Source organism: Homo sapiens, chromosome 8, assembly GCF_000001405.40.
Source record: "Homo sapiens chromosome 8, GRCh38.p14 Primary Assembly".
In the NCBI taxonomy this organism is placed as follows: domain Eukaryota; kingdom Metazoa; phylum Chordata; class Mammalia; order Primates; family Hominidae; genus Homo; species Homo sapiens.
The window spans coordinates 102,993,188-103,020,607 of record NC_000008.11 but is presented as its reverse complement, the minus strand read 5'-3'; the positions used below and the strand labels follow the sequence as shown (position 1 = coordinate 103,020,607).

Here is a 27,420-nt window from a genome sequence, read left to right as displayed (position 1 = left end):
AATCACTCCTTGCCACGAAAGCGCCTCATAGATAGTTGAAACCACATTAGATAGTGGGAAACCAAAGGTTTTAGGACAGAGGCATAGACAGGGGAAAGCATCTCCTTTGGAGAAAAATAGGTAACAAGCTCCTCCCAGGAACCCTGCTTATTTCATTAGCTTGGGGAGATAGATAGTAATGTCCTAATTTAGAACACAGAGTTTTAGAAGTAGTAGAAATTTTGAGATGTTCTAATTTAATCCTTTTAGATCTACAGATGAAGAAAGTGAGGGCACGGAGTTGTTCAGCGCAAGGGAATAGATACCAGGTGTTGAATCCAGGCTCTCCTACTTACTAGTTGTGTGACCTTACTCCTCTGAATTTCAGCCTGTTCACATGCAAAGTGGTGGTAATAATACCTTACACAGGTATTGTGAGGATTAAATGAAGCCTGTGGTTAGCACAGTGCCTGGTACATAGGAAACAACCAGTAAATGGTCGTCATTATTACTATGTATTATAGGACCCAGGTTTTCTGACCTATACTATGCCTTTTCTGCTGTGTCCCCCTACAGAAATTCACCACAGAATTTCTCAGAGCCTCAGTATTAGGTTGGACAGAAAGTAACAACCACCAGACTATCCCCAACCTGACGCTTTCACCAGTTTTGGATGAAGTTCATGCAATTACAATAACCAGTTCTATAACATGGCTTCAGAAACTTATCAGAATTCCAGAGGCTTTTATCTGCCATCACGAAATGAGCCTAAAGGCATTTTTTTTTTGGTTAGGTCCACTAAAACTTTCTGCCATGATGCAAATGTTATCCTGTGCTGTCTGTACAGTACCCACTAGCTACATGGAGCCATTGAGCACTTGAAATATGGTTAGTGTGACTTAGTAACTGAATTTTAAAATTTATTTCACTTTAATTAAAATTTAAATAGCCACATGAGACCAGTGACAACAGCCTTAGACAGTGCAGTTTTAAGGTCCATGCTTGAACTATCTTGGTTTCTTCGTGCTTGTGTGTGGTCCTGAGGCAGACTTTTTGTCTTGGATTCTTAATTTCTAAACTGAATTATACCTCGCGCAACTTTCCAACATTTGGGGTTTTTTTTTTAGTTTTGGGGTTTTTTTTGAGATGGAGTCTCGCCCTGTCGCCCAGGTTGGAGAGCAGTGGTGCGATCTCAGCTCACTGCAAACTCCACCTCCCGGGTTCAAGCGATTCTTGTGCCTTGCCCTCCTAAGTAGCTGGGACTACAGGCGTGCACCATCACACCCAACTAATTTTTGTATTTTTAGTAGAGACGGGTTTTCCTCATGTTGGCCAAGCTGGTCTCCAAGTCCTGAGGTCAAGTGATCTGCCCACTTGGCCCTCCCAAAGTGCTGGGATTACAGGGGTGAGCCATCGTGCCTGGCCTCCAGTGTTTTAATTACCATGTTATACTTGGGAGGCAGTACAACAGAGTGTTCAATAAATGTTAGCTCTAATTTTTATGAGGTTTAATGTATCTCACTTAAAAATTTAGGAAACATAGCTGGGCATGGTGGTGCATGCCTATAGTCCCAGCTACTCGGGAGGCTGAGGTGGGAGGACCCCTTGAGCCCAGGAGTTCGAGGCTGCAGTGAGCTAAAATTGCACCATACACTCCAGCCTGGGCAACAGAGCAAGACCCCATCTCAAAAAATCAAATAAAAATCTAGCAAAGATGTTTAATATAAGCAGGGCATGATTGCTCTCCAGTGGTTTCTAATAGTAAAGTAATATGTTTTTACAGAGAAGCAACTCACTTTTTAAAAACTGTACTATGCATAGAAGCATACTAGGTAGCCATGGGCATGTCACACCTTTTCCTCCATTTCCACCTATCTAAAGACTACTCATCTCCAAACATCTAAGTTTAAAGCACTCCTAAGATGCATGGGAGAAGATTTATTTTTTTCTTACAACTTTTTCCGGGGAAAAAATTTATTTTTTCCTTTATTAAAATATTGAGCTTATTTCAGTTACATATTTTTGTCTTCCCACCATTTCCATTTGTCTGACCACAGCTACTACTATGTCCTATCATAATATTCCATACATACATATATACTGAAAACCAAGCAAAGAGCCAGGCGTGGTGGCTCACACCTGTAATCCCAGCACTTTGGGAGGCTGAGGTGGGCAGATCACTTGAGGCCAGGAGTTTGACACCTTCCTGACCAACATGGCAAAATGCCATCTCTACTAAAAATACAAAAATTAGCTGGGTGTGGTGGTGCATGCCTGTAATCCCAGCTGCTTGGGAGGCTGAGGCAGGAGAATTGCTTGAGCCTGGGAGCCAGAGGCTGCAGTGAGCCAAGATAGTGCCACTGCCCTCCAGCCTGAGTGACAGAGCAAGACTCTGTCTCAAAAAAAAAAACAAGCAAACGATGGAGTTTCATCTTTAAAAACTACAGGGGCATTTTGGACAACACATTTTTGGCAATGGAACCTGGACAATATTTATCCAACGTGCTAGGGAACTTCTCACTCTGAATTGTAAAAAGGACAGTTAGATATCAACTGTTACAGAAATGAAATGACAGATAATTTTTTTCTCTAAAAGAACTATTAACGAAATGACAGGTAATTTTTTTCTCTAAAAGAACTATTGGGTTAAAAGATTTAAAAAAAAAAAGAAGAAAGAAAATTTTAACAAGCTGTTTAAACTATTTTTTTTTTTTTTTGAGACAGAGTCTCACTCTGTTGCCCATGCTGGAATGCAATGGCGTGATCTCTGCTCACTGCAACCTCTGCCTCCCAGGTTCAAGCGATTCTCCTGTCTCAGCCTCCCAAGTAGCTGGGAATACAGGCATCCACCACCACGCCTGGCAAATTTTTTGTATTTTTATTTATTTATTTATTTATTTTTGGAGAGACAAGGTTTCACCATGTTGGCCAGGCTGGTTTTGAACTCCTGACCTCAAGTGATCTGCCCACCTTGGCCTCCCAAAGTGCTAGGGTTACAGGCATGAGCCACCACGCTTGGCCTAAACTGTGTTCTTAAAGAGACTTCTTCCACTGCCAGAGATGGTGAATAGCCTCCTAGTTGGTCATCCAGAAGTAATTCTTCACATAATTGATGCACTTAGCTTTGGGAAGAGAACCAACTTTTTCTATACTTGCTTGCATTTTTGCTTTTAATATATTCTACAAAACTAGGTCCTTTTGGTGTTTTAAGAGGTTTTTTCCCCCTGTTTTTGAAGGATTCTTGACCTTTTGGTCTTAATCTTGATAGTTCTGAGTCTTTTTTATTTTGGTTTGATCTTTGTGCATTTTTTGGATGGAGTATCCTGTATAAATTTCATCACTAGAGCTTTTTCTTCAGTTTTCCCTTCATCAAAATGTTCTTCCTCTTCATCATCATCATGATTTTCATCAGCAAGAAGTTTTATTTTTTTCTTGTAGAAATGTACCCACTTCCAGGGGCAGATCACTTTCCAGATATACTGAAAAGTCTCACATCTCCCTCCTCTTCATGTCCTGCTTTGTATCTTCCTTCATACCTGTTAAGTGCTGTGTACTCATATGCCCAGGCCCTGAAACACACTGAGTGTAAGGCCACAGGCAATGTTATTTCAAAGCCCCCAAGATAAACCATTGACTGTACATACCTTTTTAAAGTTGCTAGTATTACTTTAATTGGACTGCCTTCATAGTTCATTACTTCTGCTTCAACAATATAAAATCCATCCTTTCTACCAGCCCCTAAACTGACCATTCTTAAAGATAACTTGTGCTCATTTTCATCATTATCCACCTTAAAGTGATAATCTTTGTTGGCCTCTAGTCACAACCAAAAAGATAGTTCTGGGGCCTCAGGAGGCTGATGTCCATGTCCGTCAAATCTTCCATGGGTGGCGGCAAGCACTTAGGTAGGAGAGAAGCCAGGCAGAGGTAAACAACCACGCTCCAGAGAACAGCTGTGCAGGATGGAATCATACCAGCAACCAATTATTTTGTTTTTTGATTACTGTTTTCTTTTTTTAATTTTTTAAATATTTTTTAACTTTTATTTTAAGTTCAGGGGTACGTGCGCAGGTTTGTTACATAGGTAAACTTGTGTCAAGGAGGTTTGTTGTACAGATTATTTCATCACCCAGGTATTAAGCCTAGTATCCATTAGTTAAACAAAGTGGAGAAAGTATTTGAAGCAAATAGGGCAACAGGATTCAGAACTCTTTTTCACTCTGGTATAATAGTCAAGATATCTTGAAAGTTGTTACTGGCATTTCCCTTAGGAAACTAAGTGTCCTTGTTTAAGAAAATACCTTGATAAACTAATATCTTCCACTAGGGTGGAAGAAAAACTGAGAGTATGGTTAAATGGAGGCAAAGACCAAAGAAATAACTTGAGCTAGTTTCCACTGAAAAGCAACAGAAATTGGAGAATGAAGAGATGGGAGAGAGGCATAGGGAAGAGAAGGAAAGAAAGAGAAAAGAGAAAGACAAATGACAAGGGACTTATAAAAAGAGGAATATTTAGAACTCAATTTGAGCTTACTTCAGTTGCTGTGATTTAAATCCTTTGCCATCTTCCCAGAGCTTTAATAAAGTCTACGCTCAAATGCCTTTATGCAAAATTCTTTTGTAGACATATATGCTATCCAGGTTATAATATACAGAGAGCTTGAACAAATTGATAAAAGCAATACTAAGGGCTGAGCACGGTGGCTCATGCCTGTAATCCCAGCACTTTGGGAGGCCAAGGAAGACGGATCACTTGAGGCCGGGAGTTTAAGACCAGCCAGGCCAACATTGCAAAACCTTGTCTCTACTAAAAAATACAAAAATTATTAAGGTGTGGTGGTGTATGCCTGTCATCCCAGCTACTCAGGAGGCTGAGGGATGAGAATTGCTTGAACCTGGGAGGCAGAGGTTGCAATGAGCCAAGATAGCGACACTGCACTCCAGCCTGGGTGACAGAGCAAGACTCTGTCTCAAAAAAAAAGGAACAATACTAAGACCATCCAAAAGACAAATGAGCAAAAAGCACAAAACAGTTAAGAAAAAAAGAAGTGCTATTGGCTATAACATACGGGGAATATTCACTCTTACTAGTGCTCAAAAATATAAATAAGAACAATACAAAATTTTATAAACACAAATATTAAAATAAATAGAAATAACTCATATTAGCAAAGATAGAAATATACACATAATAGCCAATGCTGGTGAGGGTGTGGTAAGATAGACTCTTACACTACTAGTAGAAATGTAAATTGGTACAACTCTTTGGTCAGCAATTAACAGTATGAATGAGAGGCCTTTAAAATGTTTGTTCCATTTGACTGTCATTAGAATGTTAATCATGCAAAAGATAGAAAAGTATTTATGCAAAATATGTTTATTACATCATTATTTATGTTTGTTTTCATCATCAACACCATTTATTAAAGATTTCATTAAGAACTAAGCCCCTGTGAAGGTGAAGTGTTGAAAATGGTATTGAGGTTTATATCTTGAATTTTCGGAGTTCATTGCTCAAGGGTAATGAATAGAATATACTAGACCCATGATTCTCAACCTGAGGACATTTGGCAATGTCTGAGACATTTTTGGTTGTCACAGCCTAAGGGTAGGGATGCCACTAGTACCTGGTGGGTAAAGGCCAGGAATGATGCTAAACGTCTTAAAATGCACAGGACAGACCCCAAACAGAATTATCTGATCCAAAATGTCAACCGTGCTCATGCTGAGAAACCTGGTACTTGACTTATAACACTCTCAGATTCCCAAATTCATGACTTACTGCATAATGTATAATACCCTCAGTTTTTTAATCTGTAAGGTGAGACAATAATATCTACCTCTATTGTTATGAGAATAAAATTGAATCATATAATAAATTGTAGTCACATCGCCACTTTGAGATGTCAGCTAGGTTTGATGCAGGGCAGGCAAGCTCCAAAGTGGAGCTTAGCCCATGAGGATTCTTGGCTTTTCCCAGGAAAGAATTCAAGGGCAAGCCAGAGGTAGAAGAAAACAGCTTTATTGAAGAGGCATTGTTACAGTTTGGTGACTACTCCTGCAGAGTGAGGCTACCCAGTAGACAGAGTAGGGCAGTTTGGGTCATATTTATACCCACTTTTAATGGCATTCAGATTAAGGAACAGTTTTTGAGGAAATTTCTAGGGAAAGGGTAGTAACTGTTAGGTCATTAGGTCATTGCCGTGGAAAGAGGTGGTAACTCCCGGCTGTTCCCATGGCAGTGGTAAATTGACATGGCACACTGGTAGGTGTGTCTGACTGAAAGCTGCTTTTGCCCCTGCCCTGGTTTAGGTAGTCCTCCATCCGATTCGGAGCCCTGCCTCTGGAGTCGAGTCCCGCCTCCCACCTCAGGTTCACTCACTAGCTAGGAGATCCGCTCCTATATGCCAGCCTCATAGTGAATTTCTGACTTGACATGGTCACACGTTTCTACAGATTGAGTCCCTTGCCGAGAAGACTAGAAACAGAAATTGTTATATCAATAAATGTCAAGTATTTAGTGAATACCAGCTTTTTTTGTTTTGTCTTGTTTTGTGTTGTTTTGTTTTGGAAATGGAGTCTCGCTCTGTCTCCCAGGCTGGAGTGTGGTGGCGAGATCTTGGCTCACTGCGACTTCCGCCTGCCTGGTTCAAGCAGTGAATACCAGCTTTTTAAGCAATGTTTTTCTTTATTCTTGTTTTAACAATTAATACTTATTAACTGGTTAATAATTGGAAAGTATAGACAAGCAAAAAGAAGATATAAACATCACTCATTATTCCACCACTCAGGAAAAATCACTTGGGCACATCCTTCTAGAATTTTTTTTTTTTTTTTTTTTGGGACAGAGTCTCGTTCTGTGGCCCAGACTGGAGTGCAGTGGCACGATCTCAGCTCACTACAACCTCCACCTGCCTGGTTCAAGCAGTGAATACCAGCTTTTTAAACAATGTTTTTCTTTATTCTTGTTTTAACAATTAATACTTATTAACTGTTTAATAATTGGAAAGTATAGACAAGCAAAAAGAAGATATAAACATCACTCATTATTCTACCACTCAGGAAAAATCACTTGGGCACATCCTTCTAGAATTTTTTTTTTTTTTTTGGGACGGAGTCTCGTTCTTTGGCCCAGAGTGGAGTGCAGTGGCACGATCTCAGCTCACTACAACCTCCACCTCCCGGGTTCAAGCAGTTCTCCTGTCTCAACCTCCCGAGTAGCTCAGATTATAGGCACACGCCACCACACCCGGTCTTAATTTTTGCATTTTTAGTAGAGACAGGGTTTCACCATATTGGTCAGGCTGGTCTCAAACTCCTGACCTCAGGTGATCCACCCACCTCGGCCTCCCAAGGTGCTGGGATTACAGGTGTGAGCCACCGCGCCCGGCCTCTTCTAGAATATTTCTATTCATGTTCATGCACTTATGCAACCTGTGCTATGGGCTCAGTAAGTTAGTAAGTGGCAGGTATGAATTCTAAACCAAGGCTGTCTGGGTCCCTTGGGCCATGCTTTAGCATGACCCCATGTCCTCTGTGATGTAAAGCCTCTTCTCACTTCTTTCTTTTTTTTTTTTTTTTTTTTTTGTATTTTTAGTAGATACGGGGTTTCACCATGTTGGCCAGGCTGGTCTCAAGCTCCTGGCCTCAAGTGATTCACCCACCTTGGCCTCCAAAAGTGCTGGGATTACAGGCATGAGCCACCGTGCCCGGCCTCCTTTTTTTTCTTTTTCTTTTTCTTATTTATTCATTTATTTATTTTATTGTCTCTCAGACATACTCCTTTTATACTCTGAATTTTCATGGCATGTTTTGGCATTTAGCTAATTCCACTTGCATTATATTTTATCAGCCTCATCAAGACCACCCTGTACCAGAGAGTCCTGAATATGCATTGTACCTGGTAAGCATTCAGTAAGGGTAGCTGAATAGATTTCACAACCAAATGAAAGACCAGATTTCAAACATTTTATGACAGAGGATGAGGAAGGGAAGAGGTACTGTGTTGTCTGAGTGGTTAAACCTGTCAGTTCCTTTCCTCTGGTCCTCATAGTGTCGGTCCTTGAACTAATAGAAATCATCATTTTTGTCATTGCATCCTTAGAAATGGTATGAAATCTTAGGAGCAGCAAATGTTCATAGAAATAGGAAGTTATTTTCTTAAAAAATTAGTTCTGCTCTCCCGCCTTCATTTCAGGATTTTGTTCCCTTTATTACTACTTTTTACTTTGCTTAAATGACACAGTGAGAAAGATTTTGAACAATTCTTAGTACTGTGCTATACTAAGAAGTAGTCGCCTCTGGACTAAATCTAATTTTCATCTTATTTACACCAAATAGTCTAAAAGTGACAGAACTGGAAGTTAGTATTTAGTAGTTATAATGTACCAATCTGATTAGAAAAAAGAAATGAAAAGAAAAAAACTGACAGGGCAAGATGGTTCACGCCTGTAATCCCAGCACTTTGGGAGAACAAAATGGGAAGATTGAGCCCAGGAGTTTGAGACCAGTCTGGGAAACATAGCAAGACCTTGTCTCTACTAAAAATTAAAAAATTAGCCAGACATAGTGGTGCACACCTATAGTTTCAGCTATTACAGAGGCTGAGGCAGGAGGATCACTTGAGCCCAGGAGGTGGGGGTGGCAGTGAGCTATGACTGTATCACTGCACTCCACCCTGGGTGACAGAGTGAGAACTTGTCTCTAGAAAAAAAAACACAAAACACTGATGCACTGTATTTAATGATTATAAGCAGCATCCCTTTAGTCCCCCATGTGTTGTTACACCTAATTCCTGAATGTACAAACATATGTCTTTCAAAATAGTTAACGATACATAGGGCAACTGATTTACTAAAGGGGAGGGTGTGGTTAAAAAATTATCAACAGGAGGCCAGGCTTGATGGCTCATGCCTGTAATCCCAGCACTTTGGGAGGCTGAGGCAGGCTGATCACTTGAGCTCAGGAGTTCAAGATCAGCCTGGGCAACATGGTGAAACAATGTGTCTACAAAAAAATATAAAAATTAACCTTTAGCTGGCGCGGTGGCTCACGCCTGTAATCCCAGCACTTTGGGAGGCTGAGGTGGGCGGATCACGAGGTCAGAAGATGGAGACCATCCTGGCTAACATGGTGAAACCCCGTCTCTACTAAAAAAAAAAAAATACAAAAAATTAGCCGGGCACGGTGGCGGGTGCCTGTAGTCCCAGCTACTCGAGAGGCTGAGGCAGGAGAATGATGTGAACCTGGGAGGTGGAGCTTGCAGTGAGCCGAGATTGCGCCACTGCACTCCAGCCTGGGTGACTGAGTGAGACTCCATCTCAAAAAACCAAACTAAACTAAACTAAATAAAATAAAATAAACCTTGTGTGGTGGTAGGCACCTATAGTCCCAGCAACTTGGGGACTGAGGTGGGAGCATCACTGGAGCCCAGGAGGTTGAGGCTGCAGTGAGCCGTGTTCCTGGCAGTGCACTCCAGCCTGGGTGACAAAGTGAGAGCCTATCTTGAAAAAAAAAAAATTACCAACAGAAATAATGAATACTCATCTTAAGCACAGTTTGAGAACAACAACCCCAGCATCTGGAAAACAACACCTTAGACCTCAGCCAGGACTGGGGAGGGAGACCTTAATGATCATTGTCTTTTGAAATCATCACCAGAGCTTTCTTCAGGAAGGAAAACATCTTAGTGTGATTCTCCTAAACTTGCACCTTAGGAGAAGCACCTTAAATTTAACTCACTGCTGGGTCAGCCATCTCTTGCCAGATGGCTGTGACCACAGTTTGATCATCACTCCTCTTAATCTTACCAAGAAGCCTATCCAAAACAGCAGGGGATAGCCCCAGCTCCTGCACCTCCCATGCAAATCCCTGTCAATACCTCCAGATGTCTTCCTCAGCCTTATTCCTATCGCTATTGCTCAGTCATTCCATGGGGTTGACAATGTCACCCTGCTGGTGACATGAACAAACAGGAGAGTCTGGGCTGACTGCCCTCAGGCAGTTCCTCCATAAATAAGGATTAGATTCAGTTATTTAAAGTGACCTTAGAACTTTTGATTTAACAGCTGACCCAGAGGTCATGTTGGTGTTACTGTCGATCTGTGCCCACCGAATGGTATAAGTCTCATTTGGGGGATGCTAAGAATTGTAAACAACATTTTCTTTTTTTTAATTTTAATTTTAAATTGTTTTAGAGATGGGGTCTCACTCTGTCAGCCAGGCTGGAGTGCACTGGTGCCATCATAGCTCACTGTAGCCTCAAACTCCTGTGCTCATGGGGTCCTCTCCCCTGAGCCACCTGAGGAGCTATAACATGCACCACCACACCCGGCTGATTTTTATTTTTATTTTTTTGGTAGAGATGGAGTCTCACTATGTTGCCCAGGCTGGTCTCAAACTCCTGACCTCAAGCAATCCTCCCACCTTGGCTTCCCAAAATGCTGGAATTACAGGCACAAGCCACCGTGCCCGGACCTTTAAACAACACTTTGTTCCCAGAGCTGCCCTGTGCATCCCAGGACAGTATGGAAGGCAGGCATTATCTTGACTCTCTCCCCAAAATATAGTGACTTATACCTTGTAAGTCATCATAAAAAACCTTCAAGTGTACACCACTAGTAGCTCACATAGCCCTCAGATGATTGTGGAGATTTCTCCAAAATGAAGCTTCCTTTGATTACCTGGAGGAACTCCCCAAAGTGATAACAGGCTTGTTATTTATCCACTATCAGTGGCCACTTGTTGCTGCAGTGGAAGTCATCCCATTAGAAGAAGCAGAACAAAATTTGCCCCTGACTTTAGCTGAAGTGATCAGTGATACCAGCTTTGCCCTTGAAGTATTCGCATTTGCCTCAACTGAGTAGCCAGGTGTGTTATACGTAATACAATTGCTTTAAACTTCTTCCTTGTGGGTCAAGGCGGAGGGGTCTGTACAATTATTAATACATTCTGTCATGCCTACATTAATGTCTTGGACTGAGGGAAAAGGTCAGTACAGAAACTTAAGGAAAGATCCCACTCCCTGACTCTTCTTAAATGAAGCCTTGGTGGCTTCTTGAATTTGTTCAAGGAGTTGATTCTGAGACTCTGACAGGCATATTTGAGGTCAGTGCCACAAATAGCTTCCTCCTGCTTTGTGGATTCTTGTTTATAGTCACCTTAATAAGGCCATATTTGACAAATTAAACAGACTTGGTCCCAGTCTTTGTCAGCTGGGTTAATTGGAGAATGCCAGTGGCATATCTATGGGAAACTTCACCAGAAGCAAGACAGTGTAAAAAGGAGGGTGAGCCACTGTGCCTGGCCAGTTTTCTGTCAATAAACAAAAATTTGGCAATCCAGGAGGAAAGAATAGTCTCTCTCTACAGCTATAAGGTTGCTGGGTACTATAAACTATGAAGAAATCCAATGGAATAAATTGGTGTTAGGGAACAATAAATATGAGAAAATGTTTTCCATTTGTTATCAAAGAGCAACTTGATAATTTTAAGGGATTGTATTCTAAAATAAAGCAAATACCTTCAAACCTGAAAATATTGTTTCATTATTCAGATATAATTCACCTTTTCATCAGTCAATAACTATTTAGGCCCAGAAGGGAAAAGTTGTACAATCCTTTGTACATATGGTTCTTTGATAAGAACTACTAAATACAGGCTGGACGTGGTGGCTCACCTATGTAATCCCAACACTTTGGGAGGCCAAGGCAGGTGGATCACCTGAAGTCAGGAGTTCAAGACCAGCCTGGCCAACACAGTGAAATCTCGTCTCTACTAAAAATACAACAATTAGCTGGGCATGGTAGCGGGCACCAGTAATCCCAGCTACTCAAGAGGCTGAGGTGGGAGAATCACTTGAACCCAGGAGACGGAGGTTGCAGTGAGCCGAGATTGAGCCACTGAACTCCAGCTTGGGCGACAGAGTGAGACTCCATCTCAAAAAAGAAAAAAAAAAAAGAACTATTAAACACTTTTTTTTTTTTTTTTTGAGATAGAGTCTCTCTGTGTCACCCAGGCTGGAGTGCAGTGGCATGATCTCAGCTCACTGCAACCTCCCCCTCCCGGGTTCAAGCGATTCTCCTACTTCAGCCTCCTGAGTAGCTGGGATTACAGGTGCGCACCACCACGCCCAGCTAATTTTTATATTTTTAGTAGAGACGGGGTTTCACCATGTTGGTCAGGCTGGTCTCGAGCTCCTGACCTTGTGATCTGCCCGCCTCAGCCTTCCAAAGTGCTGGGATTACAGGCGTGAGCCACCGCACCCAGCCAAACACTATTTTTTGGATCTTAGCAATCACTTTACAAATATCAGAAGGTAAACTCGTAGGTCTTTAATTTGATGATTTATTAAATGATTTTGGGAGTGGGGAAACAATACCTATTTACCCTAACCACACGCTGCAGCTACCTTCCCTAACACTAATGGAGGTTGTACTGAAATTCTTGTTAAATCTGCAGTCCATGAAAACACTGAATCCAAGTTTTGGAGGTTGTGGCCTGGGTATCTGCATTGTCACAAGACCTCGTGAAATTTGATGAATCATTGCACTAGAACTTCTTGAGCAGTCATTCTTCTGAGCCTCTGTGGCATAGCTGTGTTATTCACTTAGCACCCAAGGTGTAATATTAGTATGTGTTCATTCATTCAGTGAATATTTTTAGGTGCCTACTGTGTGTTTAGAACCTTACTAAACATTCTTTTGTCATTTTTTGGTGTGTCTACCCACAACTAGATTAAAAGCCTCTTTCAAATAGGGATCCTAAGTAAACATGTCTTTGTAGTCCTAGAAACTGATAAGCAATGTACCCTCCACCCAGGGTCCCACCCAGAGTCCAATTCCCTCTTTTTGCTTCCTAACAGAACCACAGTTTTGTTCAGGGACCCATCTGTTTAGCCAAGTATGTTGGAGGAAACTGTCAGGAATGGTTCTAAATGATTGCTTCAGGTATTTGCATGTGACCTAATTCTGGCAGATGAGGCATGAGGGGAAATGTGCTGGAAAGCTTCCATGAAGTTCTCTTGCTCTTAGGAGAGACCTACAGGACGAGGTGGTCTCTCTTTTTCCTCAAAATAGTCATGCTTCTGTTGCGATCTGGAAGTGCTACAGCCATCTTGCTACCTCCCTGAGAATGAAGCTTCCACTGGGGATGGCTTCCACTGGAGAAATGGAAAAAAAAGTGAGTCCTTAATTACCCCCCTCCTTTTTTTTTTTTTTTTTTTGAGACAGGGTCTCGCTCTGTTGCTCAGGCTGGAGTGCAGTGGCATGATCTCAGCTCACTGCAACCTCCTCCCCCAAGACTCAAGTGATCCTCCCACCTCAGCCTCCTGAGTAGCTGGGACTACAGGTGCTCACCACTATGCCCAGTTAATTTGTAAATTTGTTGTAGAGATGAGATCTCACTATATTGCCCAGGCTGGTCTTGAACTCCTGCGCTCAAGTAATCTTCTTGCCTTGGCCTCCCAAAGTGCTAAGATTACAGAAATGAGCCACAGCACCTGGCCAAGACTGTGTTTCTGTATTTGCACCCAACTGAGGGTCAGTAAATATCGGTTCCAGATGATGCTGACAATGATGTGAAAAATAAAATGATAGAATTGCCATCTTCAAGGATGTTGCTACTGACCATGATTAAGATTTATTTGTGAGGTTTTGAGTAAAGTTATCAATCCAAGACCTACAATCTTGACTCCACAGAGCTACCCTCTTTCTCTAAGACCCTAGAACACTTTGTGATATGATGATACACTAAGAAATACATATTTGGTCTTCATCTCTGGTTCCTGGCATTGAGCTCTTAAAACCCTTGTAAATTCCTGAAGGATAGGTATAAGAAGAGCATCTTCATCATTCATAATAAGCTCCTTTTAATCATACCTGAGTTTATGCCAATGAGATGACTGGTGGCTGGGGCTCTTAGATAACTTCAGGTTGGGGGTGAGTCAGCAGAAAGACCAAGTGATTAGAGGGTTGCAACTTTCAGCACCACCCCTAGTCCCAACCTATGGGGAGGCAGAGGGGCTAGAGATTAAGTTTATCTCCAATGTCCAATGCTTTAATCAATCATGCCCCAATAAACCTCCATAAAAACCATAAGTGGGGTTTGTGGATCCAGAAAGCTTCTGGGTTGGTAAATATATCCATGTGCTGGGAGGGTGGCACACCCCAAACTCCACAGGGACAGAAGCATCTATGCTCAGAACCCTTCCCAACCTTACCCTATGTACCTCTTCATCTGGTTGTTCATGTGTATCTTTTATAATATCCTTTATAACAAACCAGTAGTAGTAATGTGTCTTCCTGAGTTCTGTGAGACTTTCTAGCAAATTATACAATCCAAAGGGGAATTGTGGGAACCCCCTGACTTTATAAGTGGTTGGTTATGCAAACCAAAAATAAAATTCAAAGCCCCTCAACCATCTGAATGGACCCTTCCTCTCAGCCAAGGGCATTACCCAAAGTTAACCTGAAAAACTAGTTCAGGCCATGATGCGAAGAGGGAGTTGGACTTGCCTCATTATACCATCCTCCCTTTTGGAATTCAGGCACAGCTGACCAGCATTAACATTAAAACAGATCTTAAGACAGACAAGCCAGACAAAACAGACTCTTTGTAGCAATAAGACACCAAATTTCAGCCTGACTGTAGTATAGCATCACATGACAAATAGCAGCCTGAAAGAAATTGAAGTATTTTACCCCCAAAATTATATTTTTTGACGTATTTTGAAATGGCCCTGTAAAGCTGTCTCTTGTGAGGAAAAAATCTACATTTTGTAGAGAATCCCCATTCCTTCTTTTTCCTGATCCAGGAGAGAATCAACTCTGATAAGAAACATTTATGATCTATTCTCTCTGAAGCCTGCTACCTAGAGGCTTCCTCTGCATAGTAGAAATATCAGTCTCCATAACCCCTATCCTAACCCAGACATTCCCTTCTATTGATTCTAGGTGTTTAGACAATAATTTAACTCTTTCAGCCAATTGCCAATCAGGAAATCTTTGAATCTACCTATAAGCTGGAATCCCCTCCCCACTTCCCCCCGACTTCAAGTAGCCCCGCCTTTCCAGACTGAACCAATGTACATCTTGCATGTACTGAGGGATGTCTTACATCTCCCTAAAATGTATAAAACCAAGCTGTAGCCTGATCACCTTGGGCACATGTTCTCAAGGTCTCCTGGGGCTGTGTCACAGGCCATTGGTCACTCACATTTGGCTCAGAATAAATCTCTTCCAATATTTTACAGAGTTTGACTCTTTTCATTGACAGAAGTACAGGTTACCCAGGCTTTTGACTGGAATCTAAAGTGAGGGCAGTCTTTTGGGAATGAGTCCTTAACCTGTGGGGCCTGTACTAACTCCTGGTAATTAGTATCAGAATTGAATTAAATGGTAGGACATCCAGTTTGCATCTGGAGAGTTGAAGAATTGGTTGGTGTTTGGGGAATAAACCACAAACACATTTGGTGTCAGAATTAGTGTGGTGTTATAAAAACGTATCATAGAATCATAGAAGTAGTACCTTCTGATATATCATCCAGAAGCAGGGAGGTCAGGAGAGCAGGAGTGCCCCCCACAGATATCTACTGCCTCAAGCTTTTCTCCTCATTTTTGACCACTTCCCATCCCCTGGCTTGAATCTATCTCCTCTCTTGACTTATGTGATGCTACTTTCTATGTCACTTCTCTTCCCACATATCAAACCTCTCCTCCTTCTCCTTCAATGGCTCCCTTCCTCCTTTACCCACAAAAGATGAGTCTTTCCACACAAAAGATTCTGCATTCTTCTGTTCCCCTAGAGTTTACACTATTTACCCATCCTCCACTTGCAACTGCTTAGTAGACAGTTTCACTGAGATGGTCCACTCTAATTGAAATCAATGTGTTCAAAGTCAGGTTACCAATTTATATCTAAAAATCATCTCCCTTTTCTGGAAATGATACTACCATACTTTCCAGATTAAGACCTTTATACCCTCTTTAATTTTTCCATCTTCCTCATAATTTTCACCTGATGTTAAGTCCTAACAAGTTCTCTGTCATGCGTGTCCATGTGAAGAGACCACCAGACAGGCTTTATGTGAGCAATAAAGCTTTTGAATCACCTGGGTGCAGGTGGGCTGAATCCGAAAAGAGAGTCAGTGAAGGGAGATAGGGATGGGGCTATTTTATAGGATTTGGGTAAGTAAAGAAAAATTACAGTCAAAGGGGGTCGTTCTCTGGCGGGCAGTGGTGGGGCTCACAAGGTGCTCAGTGGGGGAACTTCTGAGCCAGGAGAAGGAATTTCACAAGGTAATGTTATCAGTTAAGGCAGAAACCAGCCATTTTCACTTCTTTCGTGATTCTTCAGTTGCTTCAGGCCATCTGGATGTATACATGCAGGTCACAGGGGATATGATGGCTTGGCTTGGGCTCAGAGGCCTGACATTCCTGTCTTCTTATATTAATAAGAAAAATAAAACAAAATAGTGTTGAAGTGTTGGGGTGGTGAAAATTTTGGGGGGTGGTATGGAGAGATAATGGGCGATGTTTCTCAGGGCTGCTTCGAGCGGGATTAGGGGCAGTGTGGGAACCTAGAGTGGGAGAGATTTAGCTGAAGGAAGATTTTGTGGTAAGGGGCAATATTGTGGGGTTGTTAAAAGGAGCATTTGTCATATAGAATGATTGGTGATGGCCTGGATGCCGTTTTGTATGAATTAAGAAACTAAACAGAAGACACAAGGTCTGAATAAGAGAAGGAGAAAAACAGGTATTAAAGGACTAAGAATTGGGAGAACCCAGAACATCCAATTAGAGAGTGCCCAAGGGGGTTCAGCATAATTACTTCCTTGATTGGTGAGTTTTTGGTCTCTATCCTTGACAGAGTCCTCGTTTTTAAGTTGGAGGCTGAGCTTGGTGAGGTGTGTTTTTAAAAGACCATTGGTCCATTCTACCTTTCCTGAAGATTGAGGACAGTAAGGGGTATGAAGGTTCCACTGAATACCAAGAGCCTGAGAAACTGCTTGGGTGATTTGACTAATAAAGGCTGGTCCGTTATTGTATACAGCTGGGACTGTATAGAGGTGGGAAGGCCAAACCGAGGGATTATGTCTTACAGAAGGGAAGAAATGACCACGGTGGCATTTTCAGACCCTGTGGGAAAGGCCTCTACCCAGCCAGTGAAAATGTCTACCTAGACCATGAGGTATTTTAGTTTCCTGACTTGGGGCATGTGAGTAAGCCAATTTGCCAGTCCTGGGTGGGGGCAAATCCCCGAGCTTGATGTGTAGGGAAGGGAGGGGGCCTGAACAATCCCTGAGGAGTAGTAGAATAGCAGATGGAACACTGAGAAGTGATTTTCTTGAGGATAGATTTCCACAATGGAAAGGAATTGAGAGGTTCTAAGAGGCAGGCTAGCGGCTTGTAACCTACATGGAAGAGGTTATGAAATGACGATGGAATAGAATGGGCCTGTGAGGCTGGAAGAAGATATTTTCCTTGGTCCAAGAACCATTTGCCTTGTGTGGGAAGAGATTGATAGGTGGAAGTTTCAGTGGGGAAGTAAGTGGGAGTGACTGATGAGAAGGAGAAAAACTGCCATGAGGGATAGAAGTTGGAACACTAGCTGCTTTTTTAGCTACCTTATCAGCATAAGTGCTGCCCTGAGCAATGGGATCTGATGCCTTTTGATGGCCCTTGCAGTGAATGACTCTAGTTTTTTTTGGAAGTAAAGCGACCTTGAGAAGAGTTTTTATTGAAGAGGCATTAACGATGGAGGACCCTTGTGTAGTGAGGAAACTTCTTTTCGCCCATATAACAGCATGGTGGTGCAGGATATGGAAGGCATATTTAAAGTCAGTATAAATATTGACGCGTAGTCCTTTTACAAGAGTGAGGGCTCAAGTTAAGGAAATGAGTTTGGCTTGTTGAGCAGTAGTGAAGGGGGGCAGAGCAGTAACCTCAATGATAGGTGTCGAAGATACTATAGCATAGCCTGCCTTTGCTGGTGAATGGTGATTAGGCATGGTGGAACTGCCATCAATAAACCAAGTATGATCAGGGTGAGGAACAGGAAAGAAGGAAATATGGGGAAATCGAGTGAATGCCAGGTGGATTAGAGATATACAGTCATAGGGGTCAGGTGTGGTATCAGGGATAATCCTGGGTTTTGGCACCAAATGTCACGCGTGTCCATGTGAAGAGACCACCAAACAGGCTTTATGTGAGCAATAAAAATTTTTAATCATCTGGGTGCAGGTGGGCTGAGTCTGAAAAGAGAGTCAGCAAAGGGAAATAGGGATAAGGCCATTTTATAGGATTTGGGTAGGTAGTGGAAAATTACAGTCAAAGGGGGTTGTTCTCTGGCAGGCAGGGGTGGGGTGTCACAAGGTGCTCAGTAGGGGAGCTTCTGAGCCAGGAGAAGGAATTTCACAAGGTAATGTCATCAGTTAAGGCAGGAATCAGCCATTTTCACTTCTTTTGTGATTCTTCAGTTGCTTCAGGCCATCTGGATGTATACGTGCAGGTCACAGGGGATATGATGGCTTAGCTTGGGCTCAGAGGCCTGACATCTTCTTTCTTAATTTCTTTCACACATACCCCTTCCTTTCTGCTTCTATGGCCGATATCCTGGTTCAGCCCCTGACTCTATCACTTTTAACCTGAAATAACTGCAATATCGCTAAAACGTATTCCTCTTCTTGTTCTCCTCCCACCCCAATCCTTCCTGCATACTCCAGAACAGCTCCCCATTCAGAAACTTTTTTTTCTTCGAGATGGAGTTTTGCTCTTGTTACCCAGACTGGAGTGCAATGGCATAATCTCGGCTCACTGTAACCTCTGCCTCCTGGGTTCAAGCAATTCTCCCACCTCAGCCTCCCGAGTAGCTGGGATTACAGGTGTAGCAGGACAAGCTACTGACAAAACCCCTCAGACACCGAGTTAAAGAAGGAAGGGCTTTATTTGGCCAGGAGCTTCGGCAAGACTCATGTCTCCAACAACCGAGCTCCCTGAATAAGCAATTCCTGTCCCTTTTAAGGGCTCACAACTCTAACGGGGTCCACGTGAGAGGGTCGTGATCGATTGAGCAAGCAGGGGGTACATGACTGGGGGCTGCATGTACCGGTAATTAGAATGGAACAGAACAGGACAGGGATCTTCACAGTGCTTTTTCTTATGCAAATAACCAATTAGGTCAGGGGTTGATCTTTAACTACCAGACCCAGAGTGTGGCGCCAGGCTGTCTGCTTGTGAATTCCATTTCTGACTTTTAGTTTTTACTTCTTCTTTCTTTGGAGGCAGAAATTGGGCATAAGACAATATAAGGGGTGGTCTCCTCCCTTGCAGGCATGCACCACCATACCCGGCTAATTTTGTATTTTTTTTTTCTTTTAAGTAGAGATGGGGTTTCTCCATGTTGGTTAGACTGGTCTCAAACTCCTGATCTCAGGTGATCCACCTGCCTCAGCCTCCCGAAGTGCTGGGATTACAGGCATGAGCCACCACGCCTGGCTGTTTCAGAAACTTAAATGTGAGTTCCCATTGTCTTTAAATTCATGTCCAAGCTCCCTGGAGTACCAAGCTTCCAAAATTAGACCCAAAGTAATCTTGTTAGGCATGACTCCAAATAAGCATGCTGTATAGAAACTCTTCATTTCAGACAAGATACTTTACTCCTAATCACCCACACACCCCTTAGAGCCTCCTTCCTTCAGCCTTGGATTTACGTAAGGTCGCTCTTTGCCTCCTTTTACCTCCATCTACTGAAACTGAACCTGTTTTCCAAGGCCCAAATCAAAGTCTGAAATTTTCCCATCACCTGATATGGAAGTTATTTATAAAATTAATAATGATGATTAAAAACAATAGCTACCATTCTTTGGGCATTTACTCTGTGCCAGCCAGGGTAAAATCACATTCTAGAAAACATGGAAGAATCAATGAGCCCACGTACGTAAAGGGCTGAGCCCAGACCCTGGGGCATGTGGAGGGTGCCCAACAAAAATTGGCTGAATTGTCACCAATTGTGCCATTGAAATGTCACAGTGACATTTGCTAGCAGTCAAAATGCCATATCTTGTCCACCTGAAAGAGGATGAGCACTGAGGAAGTGGTTTGGGAGAGGAAGCCAACCAATTCCTTCCAGCATTGCCTGGCACGACTTTCTGAGCCTTAGGCAAATAAAAATATCTTTGTTCCAAATTACATCTATCGTCTGGTGGTATTGCTTGTCTTTTACATTTCTATTATGTGTGTCTCTTATGTATCCCTTCACTTCCCTGTTCTGGCACCAAAATGCAAAACTCAGACAGCATTAGGAAAAAGAGAAGTTCTTCCAATGTGATCCATAGTACACAGTCATGTGGGAGACTCAAGAGAAAGCTCCTTCCTGGTGGGCAGAGGTGCTCCCTAAATTCTCATTCCCTTTGAGATCAACAGCAAAGTTTCCCCCTAATGCTGAATTTGTTCTTGCTGTTTCTCAAACCAAAATGCAATTTAAGAGAGGGTTATTACATAGGAATGTTAAATACATGGCTTTCATGCTAAATCTGTGACAATCTTTCCCCACATTCCAGTGCCGGGAAATTAGCAATTTAAATCTCTCTTTGAACTGTATTGTGGATTCACTCCTCAGAGCTTCTAAAAAATAAAAAAAAAGAAAAAACTGTATTCAGTTAAACTAATGTTAGAATGTTGTGATTTACATAAGTATTAATTAATAAGTAAATACCTTACTTTTATAAAACAGGGATGGGAAGTGTAGTAAGAGCTCAGACCTATTTTAAAAGATTCATCTAGTCCAAGGAGAGCCCCATCCTAGGGCTTTGAAAAATATGGCAGCATACATTCATGAATGACACAGGAATTAAAATTCCTGGAGGTGGAAGGTCCACCTGCCGCGGTAGGGGACTGGATTATAACCCCACAGGGGTTGCAATAATCATTTCTTGGAAATTCAGATACAAATTAGCATGTCAAGGGCAGCTGAGGTTTTCACTGGAAAACTACAGCGTTTTCTTCTAGCCCAATATTCTCATATAAGCAAGATCTTCTACTTAGGCTTTATCCCCAAATCACCTGGGTGCTTGTTAAAAATACAGACTCGCACACTTTACATCCAGTTTCACCTATTCCTTTTGTGCCCCCAGGCCATCCCACCCCCATCACCATTATCTTGTTTTGAAATCTTCAGCTGCTCCGGAGGGACCTCCGTGGACCAGGCCCCACTTTCCCTTTGATATTGATATACAAGCTTGATGCTCCAGTTCGTGCCTGGTCCACTCCCTCCCCTTCAGTTTCTTCTTCCCCCTGTGTCTCAAGAATACTCTTATCCCCTTGGGGAGCTTATCTGGCTACGGTCACCAGTCTGTCAATAAATGCTTACAAAACCCTTCAGTGGCTGGGCGCGGTGGCTCATGCCTATAATCCCAGCATTTTAGGAGGCCGAGGCGGGTGGATCACCTGAGGTCGGGAGTTCGAGACCAGCCCAACCAACATGGAGCAACCCCGTCTCTACTAAAAATATGAAGTTAGCCTGACGTGGCGGTGCATGCCTATAATCCCAGCTCCTTGGGAGGCTGAGGCAGGAGAATTGCTTGCACCCGGGAGGCGGAGGTTGCAGTGAGTCGAGATCACACCATTGCACTCCAGCCTGGGCAACAAGAGCAAAACTCCATCTCAAAATAACAAACAACAACAATAAAAAAACCCTTCAGTGGTCTAATCCCATGGGATACAGAAAAATCACTATTTCTCTTGCCCCAGTGATCAGAAAGCTTGGAAATAATTTACTTACTCCGTGGCCACAGATGTCAGTGATAGACACTTTGGAAAGTTATTTAGCTGCAGCCTCACTGTGTGCCAAGGCTGCAGCCCAGCCCACTGTCTAATTGAGTACCCTCAACACACACCCACATAAAACAGGTCCTTACTATCCTTTAGAGAGATTATTTTCCATGTTTTACAAAGGAATTTAGATATAAGAGACTCAATAACATGTCCAAAGTCAAACAATGAGTCAGTAACAGATCCAGGATTTTAACCAAGGTTCTCTGATACCCAGATCCATACGGTAAGTGCTCAAGAAGGGGTGGTTGTCAGAAAGGGAAATGCTCATACACTGTTGGTGGGAATGTAAAGTAGTACAGCCACTATGGAAAACAGTATGGAGGTTCCTCAAAACATTAAAAATAGAACCACCATATGATCCAGCAATCCCATTGCTGGGTATATATCTGAAGGAAAGGAAATCAGTATGTCAAAGAGATCTCTGCACTCCCAGGTTTATTGCAGCAGTAGGCACAATAGCCAAGATAGGGAATCAACCTAAATGCCCACTGATGCATGAATGAAGAAAATGTGTGGCTGGGCACGGTGGCTCATGCCTGTAATCCCAGCACTTTGGGAGGCCGAGGTGGGCAGATCACCTGAGGTTGGGAGTTCGAGACCAGCCTGACCAACATGGAGAAACCCTGTCTCTACTAAAAATACAAAATTAGCTGGGTATGGTGGTGCATGCCTGTAATCCCAGCTACGCAGGAGGCTGAGGCAGGAGAATCGCTTGAACCCAGGAGGTAGAGTTTGCAGTGAGCCGAGATCACACCACTGGACTCCAGCCTGGACAACAAGAGCAAAACTCCATCACCAGAAAAAAAAAAAAAAAAAAAAAAGAAGAGAAAGAAAATGTGGTATATATACACAATGGAATAGTATTCAGTCATTAAAAAATGAAATCCTACCATTTGCAGCAACATGGATAAAACTGGAGGTCATTATGTTAAGTGAAATAAGCCAGGCACAGAAAGACTAATATTGTATGTTCTCACTCACATGTGGGAGCTAAAAAAGTGGATCTCATGGAGACAGAGAGTAGAATGGTAGTTACAAGAGGCTGAGAAGGGAAGGGGGTGGAGGATGAAGAGAAATTGGTTAAGGGGTACAAACATACAGTTAAATAGAATAAGTACTAGTATTTGATAGTACAGCAGGGTAATCACAGTTAACTGTCATTTATTATACATTTCAAAATAGCTAGAAGGTTTAGAATGTTCCCAACACAAAGAAATGATAAATGTTGGAGGTGATGGATATCCCATTTACCCTGCTTTTATCATGACACATTGTATGTCTGTATCAAAATAGCACCTGTACCCCACAAATATGTACAACCATGATATTGCAATAAAAAACCAAAATAAAATTTAAAAGAAAACGTGGTTGTAATAGTAATAATAATTCCAGAGTTGGTAGTATTTTTCATTTGGATTCCTCAGAAGCAGATTCTGAGACGAGGATAATGCATATGAAAATGGCTTAAATAGAGAGCATTCTCAGGAAAAATCATTAAGTAAATAAGAAAAGGGAGCAGGAAAGGGAAGAGGCCAAATAAGCAAGCAGAGTTGTCTCAGGGATGGGGTAGGTCTCATCTCAGAGTTGTCCCCTCAGAGGAAAAAGAATGGAAACTTTTTTTTTTTTGAGACGGAGTCTCCCTCTACCACCCAGGCTGGAGTGAAATGGTGAGGTCTTGGCTCACTGCAACTCCCGCCTCCCAGGTTCAAGCGATTCTCCCGCCTCAGCCTCCCGAGTAGCTGGGATTATAGGTACCCACTATCATGCCCGGCTAATTTTTGTATTTTTAGTAGAGACAGGGTTTCACCATGTTGGCCAGGCTGGTCTTGAACTCCTGACCTCAGGTGATCTGCCCACTTCGGCCTCCCAAAGTGCTGGGATTACATGCGTGAGCCACAGTGCCTGGTCCAGGAATGGAAATATTTCTATTTCATACCTGTCAGTCATTGATTAAGGGCTGCTTTAGGGGATGGGGAGAGGGATAATCTCCAGGCACACAGGGCTCTCTTATGATCATAGGTAATGTGGGCTCTGGCAGAGAAGGTTCAGGGTGGGAGGAAGACATGCCCAGAGCCAGTGCGCACTGATGGCATCTGCTACAGTGATCTTGAAACTGGAGTAGCATCATGAAAAGAAGCAAAGCTGGGCAGAGGGATAGCATTAGGAGATGTATCTAATATAAATGACGAGTTTAATGGGTGCAGCACACCAACATGGCACATGTATACATATGTAACAAACCTGCACGTTGTGCACATGTACCCTAGAACTTAAAAGTATATATATATAAAAAGAAGCAAAGCTGTTACCTCGCTTTGTTTTATAACCTTACGTATACCACACATACCATTCAGCGCTGAAGAGAAACCTGAAGAGAGAAACAAGCACCATCCTGTGTCAGGAGGGCTGGGTTTTGGTCCCAATTTTGCCAGAAATGAGCAACATGACCTTGGGGAAGTCATTTAGTCCCTGTGGTCCTCAGCAGCCACTCAGGACCTCTGGAGCCTCAGAGGCAATGCTGAAGACACTAAGTAAACTTGTTGGTGGACTGAAATCATTTTATTATTTCAGCATGTTAGGAATTCATGCTGTGGTTAACCTCTGAGCTCCTTTCCCGCTACATCTGTAATGGTGGGCCTTCCTCCCATTTTCCATGTTTCTATTATTCTCCTAGGGGAGTTTACTTTTGTAGATGTGATTCAGCTCTGCAGAGGGAACCCATGACAGTCATGTGAGATGTGTTTAATTTTGTACAGTGTAACTGCATGTTAGTAACAGGGTTTACTAGATGACTCTGCTTTTCCAGTGATACTGAAAAGGAAAAATTATTCCTTTTTTTCTAGAAGATTTATTTTAAATTTAACTTTTTTATTTTTGGAGACAGAGTCTTTCTCTGTTGCCCAGGCTGGAGTGCAGTGGTGCGATCTCGGCTCACTGCAACCTCTGCCAACCGGGTTCAAGTAATTCTCCTGCCTCAGCCTCCTGAGTAGCTGGGATTGCAGGTGCCCGCCACAACGCTTGGCTTTTTTAATTTTTTTTTTTATTTTTAGTAGAGACAGGGTTTTGTCCTGTTGCCCAGTCTGGTCTCAAACTCCTGAACTCAAGAAATCTACTTGCCTCAGCCTCCCAAAGTGCTAGGATTACAGAAGTGATCCACCACGCCCAGCCTTTTTTCCTGTAAGATTTAAAAGAGGAAAATATATATGACTATTTTTTGTGAGTATCCGTGTTGTAATAAAGACATAGCAAAGGTTGTTTTTTTTTTCCCCAAAAATGTGTGAATAAATGACCCTTTCTTTTCCACTTAGGATGAGATTTATGCTATTAGACTTGTACTCTGGTTTTATAGTATTCTACAATTGGTTTGCAACTGGAATGAATTTTTGTCAATGTTGCCATTTGAGGCAGAGCTGGGTGTGAGGAATGTGACCCCCAAAATACGGCAGACATAGAGCTGTGTCATCCAAATCCTCCTCCAAGCAAGGGCATGCTGCTCGGCTGTGGGAGTGTGGTCAGCAAACGGCTTTCAGCTGTCAGCTCCGACAACGTTAGCCTCAGCTGTGTGAGCCGCTTCATCTGAGGTCATGCCCAGGACAGCCTGAAGCCCGTGATTGAGGGAAGTGCGGGTGTAAAGGCGCAGCCATTTTGACCTAACTGGGGAGACTCTGAAAAGATACACCTGCTCCAGATTTTTCTGCTGGGTTGGCCAAAGGCTTTGATGGGCTGACATTGTGGTTATCTTTGTTGTTTATCTTCTTCCTCAGCACAATCCTGCTTCCTTTCACATTTTTAATAGATATTGATCTCTAATAAATATCTTATAACCCAAATTTTCAGTCACTCTAACCTGAAACAGTTGATGCCAGGAGTGGTCCAAGAAAACAGGCAGTGAGATGGTTTTGGAAATGGATGATACACCACTGGGTTGGCTGTGAGGACCCCATCACTGGTGGCAGGTAGAGCCCAGGCACCTTTGGCACAGTGGCCATTCAATTGTTACATCTTTCACTGGAAGGACTTGGGAGTGTACTAATGGGAGTGAATGCACTAGCAGGTGCAATGTATCAGGCATCCGAGACTTTGAAGGGAAAGGTAGGTATAAGGATAATGGGATTGTATGGCTATTGCTAAGTGACACTGATGTTCCACAGAAAGATGGAATAGCTAAGGGTGAAAGCGAGGTGTGAAATTCAGGTGTGAAAGCCAGACTTGGTGGATGCATGCAAAGCTCCTTCAGCCCTGCAGTGGCAGTACAGAAAAAGTTTAGGGCTAATAGTCCAAGTGGCTGAACTTCAAAAAAATATAGGCAGATCTGTGCTAAGGTCAGGGCCCAGGTTAGAAAAACCTTTAACCCTAACAGGTGGAATGGAGACATGTTGGTAGATAGCCCCAAGGATTTTAACATCTCAGTCTCTGACTTTCCTAAGCCATCAGCTGCCTTGGATTGGCATGGTGAATGCATAAGTGGAATCGCCACAGTGACAGAAATGGAGTCCCCATATACTTCCAAGAGCATATAAAAGCACTCCTCGGCCAGGCGCTGTGGCTCACGCCTGTAATCCCAGCACTTTGGGAGGCCGAGGCGGGGTGGATCACGAGGTCAGGAGATCGAGACCATCCTGGCTAACATGGTGAAACCCCGTCTCTACTAAAAATACAAAAAATTAGCCGGGCGTGGTGGCGGGTGCCTGTAGTCCCAGCTACTCGAGAGGCTGAGGCAGAATGGCGTGAACCCGGGAGGCGGAGCTTGCAGTGAGCCGAGATCGCGCCACTGCATTCCAGCCTGGGCAACAGAATGAGACTCCTGTAGTCCCAGCTACTCGGGAGACTGAGGCAGGAGAATGGTGTGAACCCAGGAGGCGGAGCTTGCAGTGAGCTGAGATCGCGCCACTGCACTCCAACCTGGAAGACAGAGTGACACTCCATCTCAAAAAAAAAAAAAAAAAAAAAAAGCAGTCCTCACCTTGCATAGTAGTGTAGGATGGTAAAAATAACTGTTCAACCTGAAACTATGCAGAAATCTCTTTTTAATGCAAATTAAAAAAATTTATTTTTAACTGACAAATAAAAATTAGGTGTATCTATGGCAGTGGTCCCCAACCTTTTTGGCACCAGTGACCGATTTCATGGAAGACGATTTTTCCATGGACCAGGGAGGGGATGGTTTTGGGATGATTCAAGTGCATTACATTTATTGTGCACTTTACTTCTATTATTATTATATTGTAATATATAATGAAATAATTATACAACTCACCATAATGTAGAATCAGCAGGAGCCCTAAGCTTGTTTTCCTGCAACTAGATGGTGCTATGTGGGGGTGATGGGAGACAGTGTCAGATCATCAGGCATTAGATTCTCATAAAGAGCACACAACCTAGATCCCTCACATGCACAGTTCACAATAGGGTTCATGGTCCCATGAGAATCTAATGCGGCTGTTGATCTGACAGGCAACAGAACTCCCATGGTAATGCAAGCGATGGGGAACAGCTGTAAGTACAGATGAAGCTTTGCTTGTTCGCCTGCTGCTCACCTCCTGCTGTGCAGCCTGGTTCCTAACAGGCCATGGACTTGGGGATTCTTGATCTATGGCATACAACATGATGAT

At 42.8% G+C, this 27,420-nt stretch overlaps 1 pseudogene; it reads right to left on the bottom strand.

Annotated features, from left to right (window-relative positions):
• NPM1P52 (nucleophosmin 1 pseudogene 52) lies at nucleotides 3,001-3,956 on the bottom strand (annotated as a pseudogene).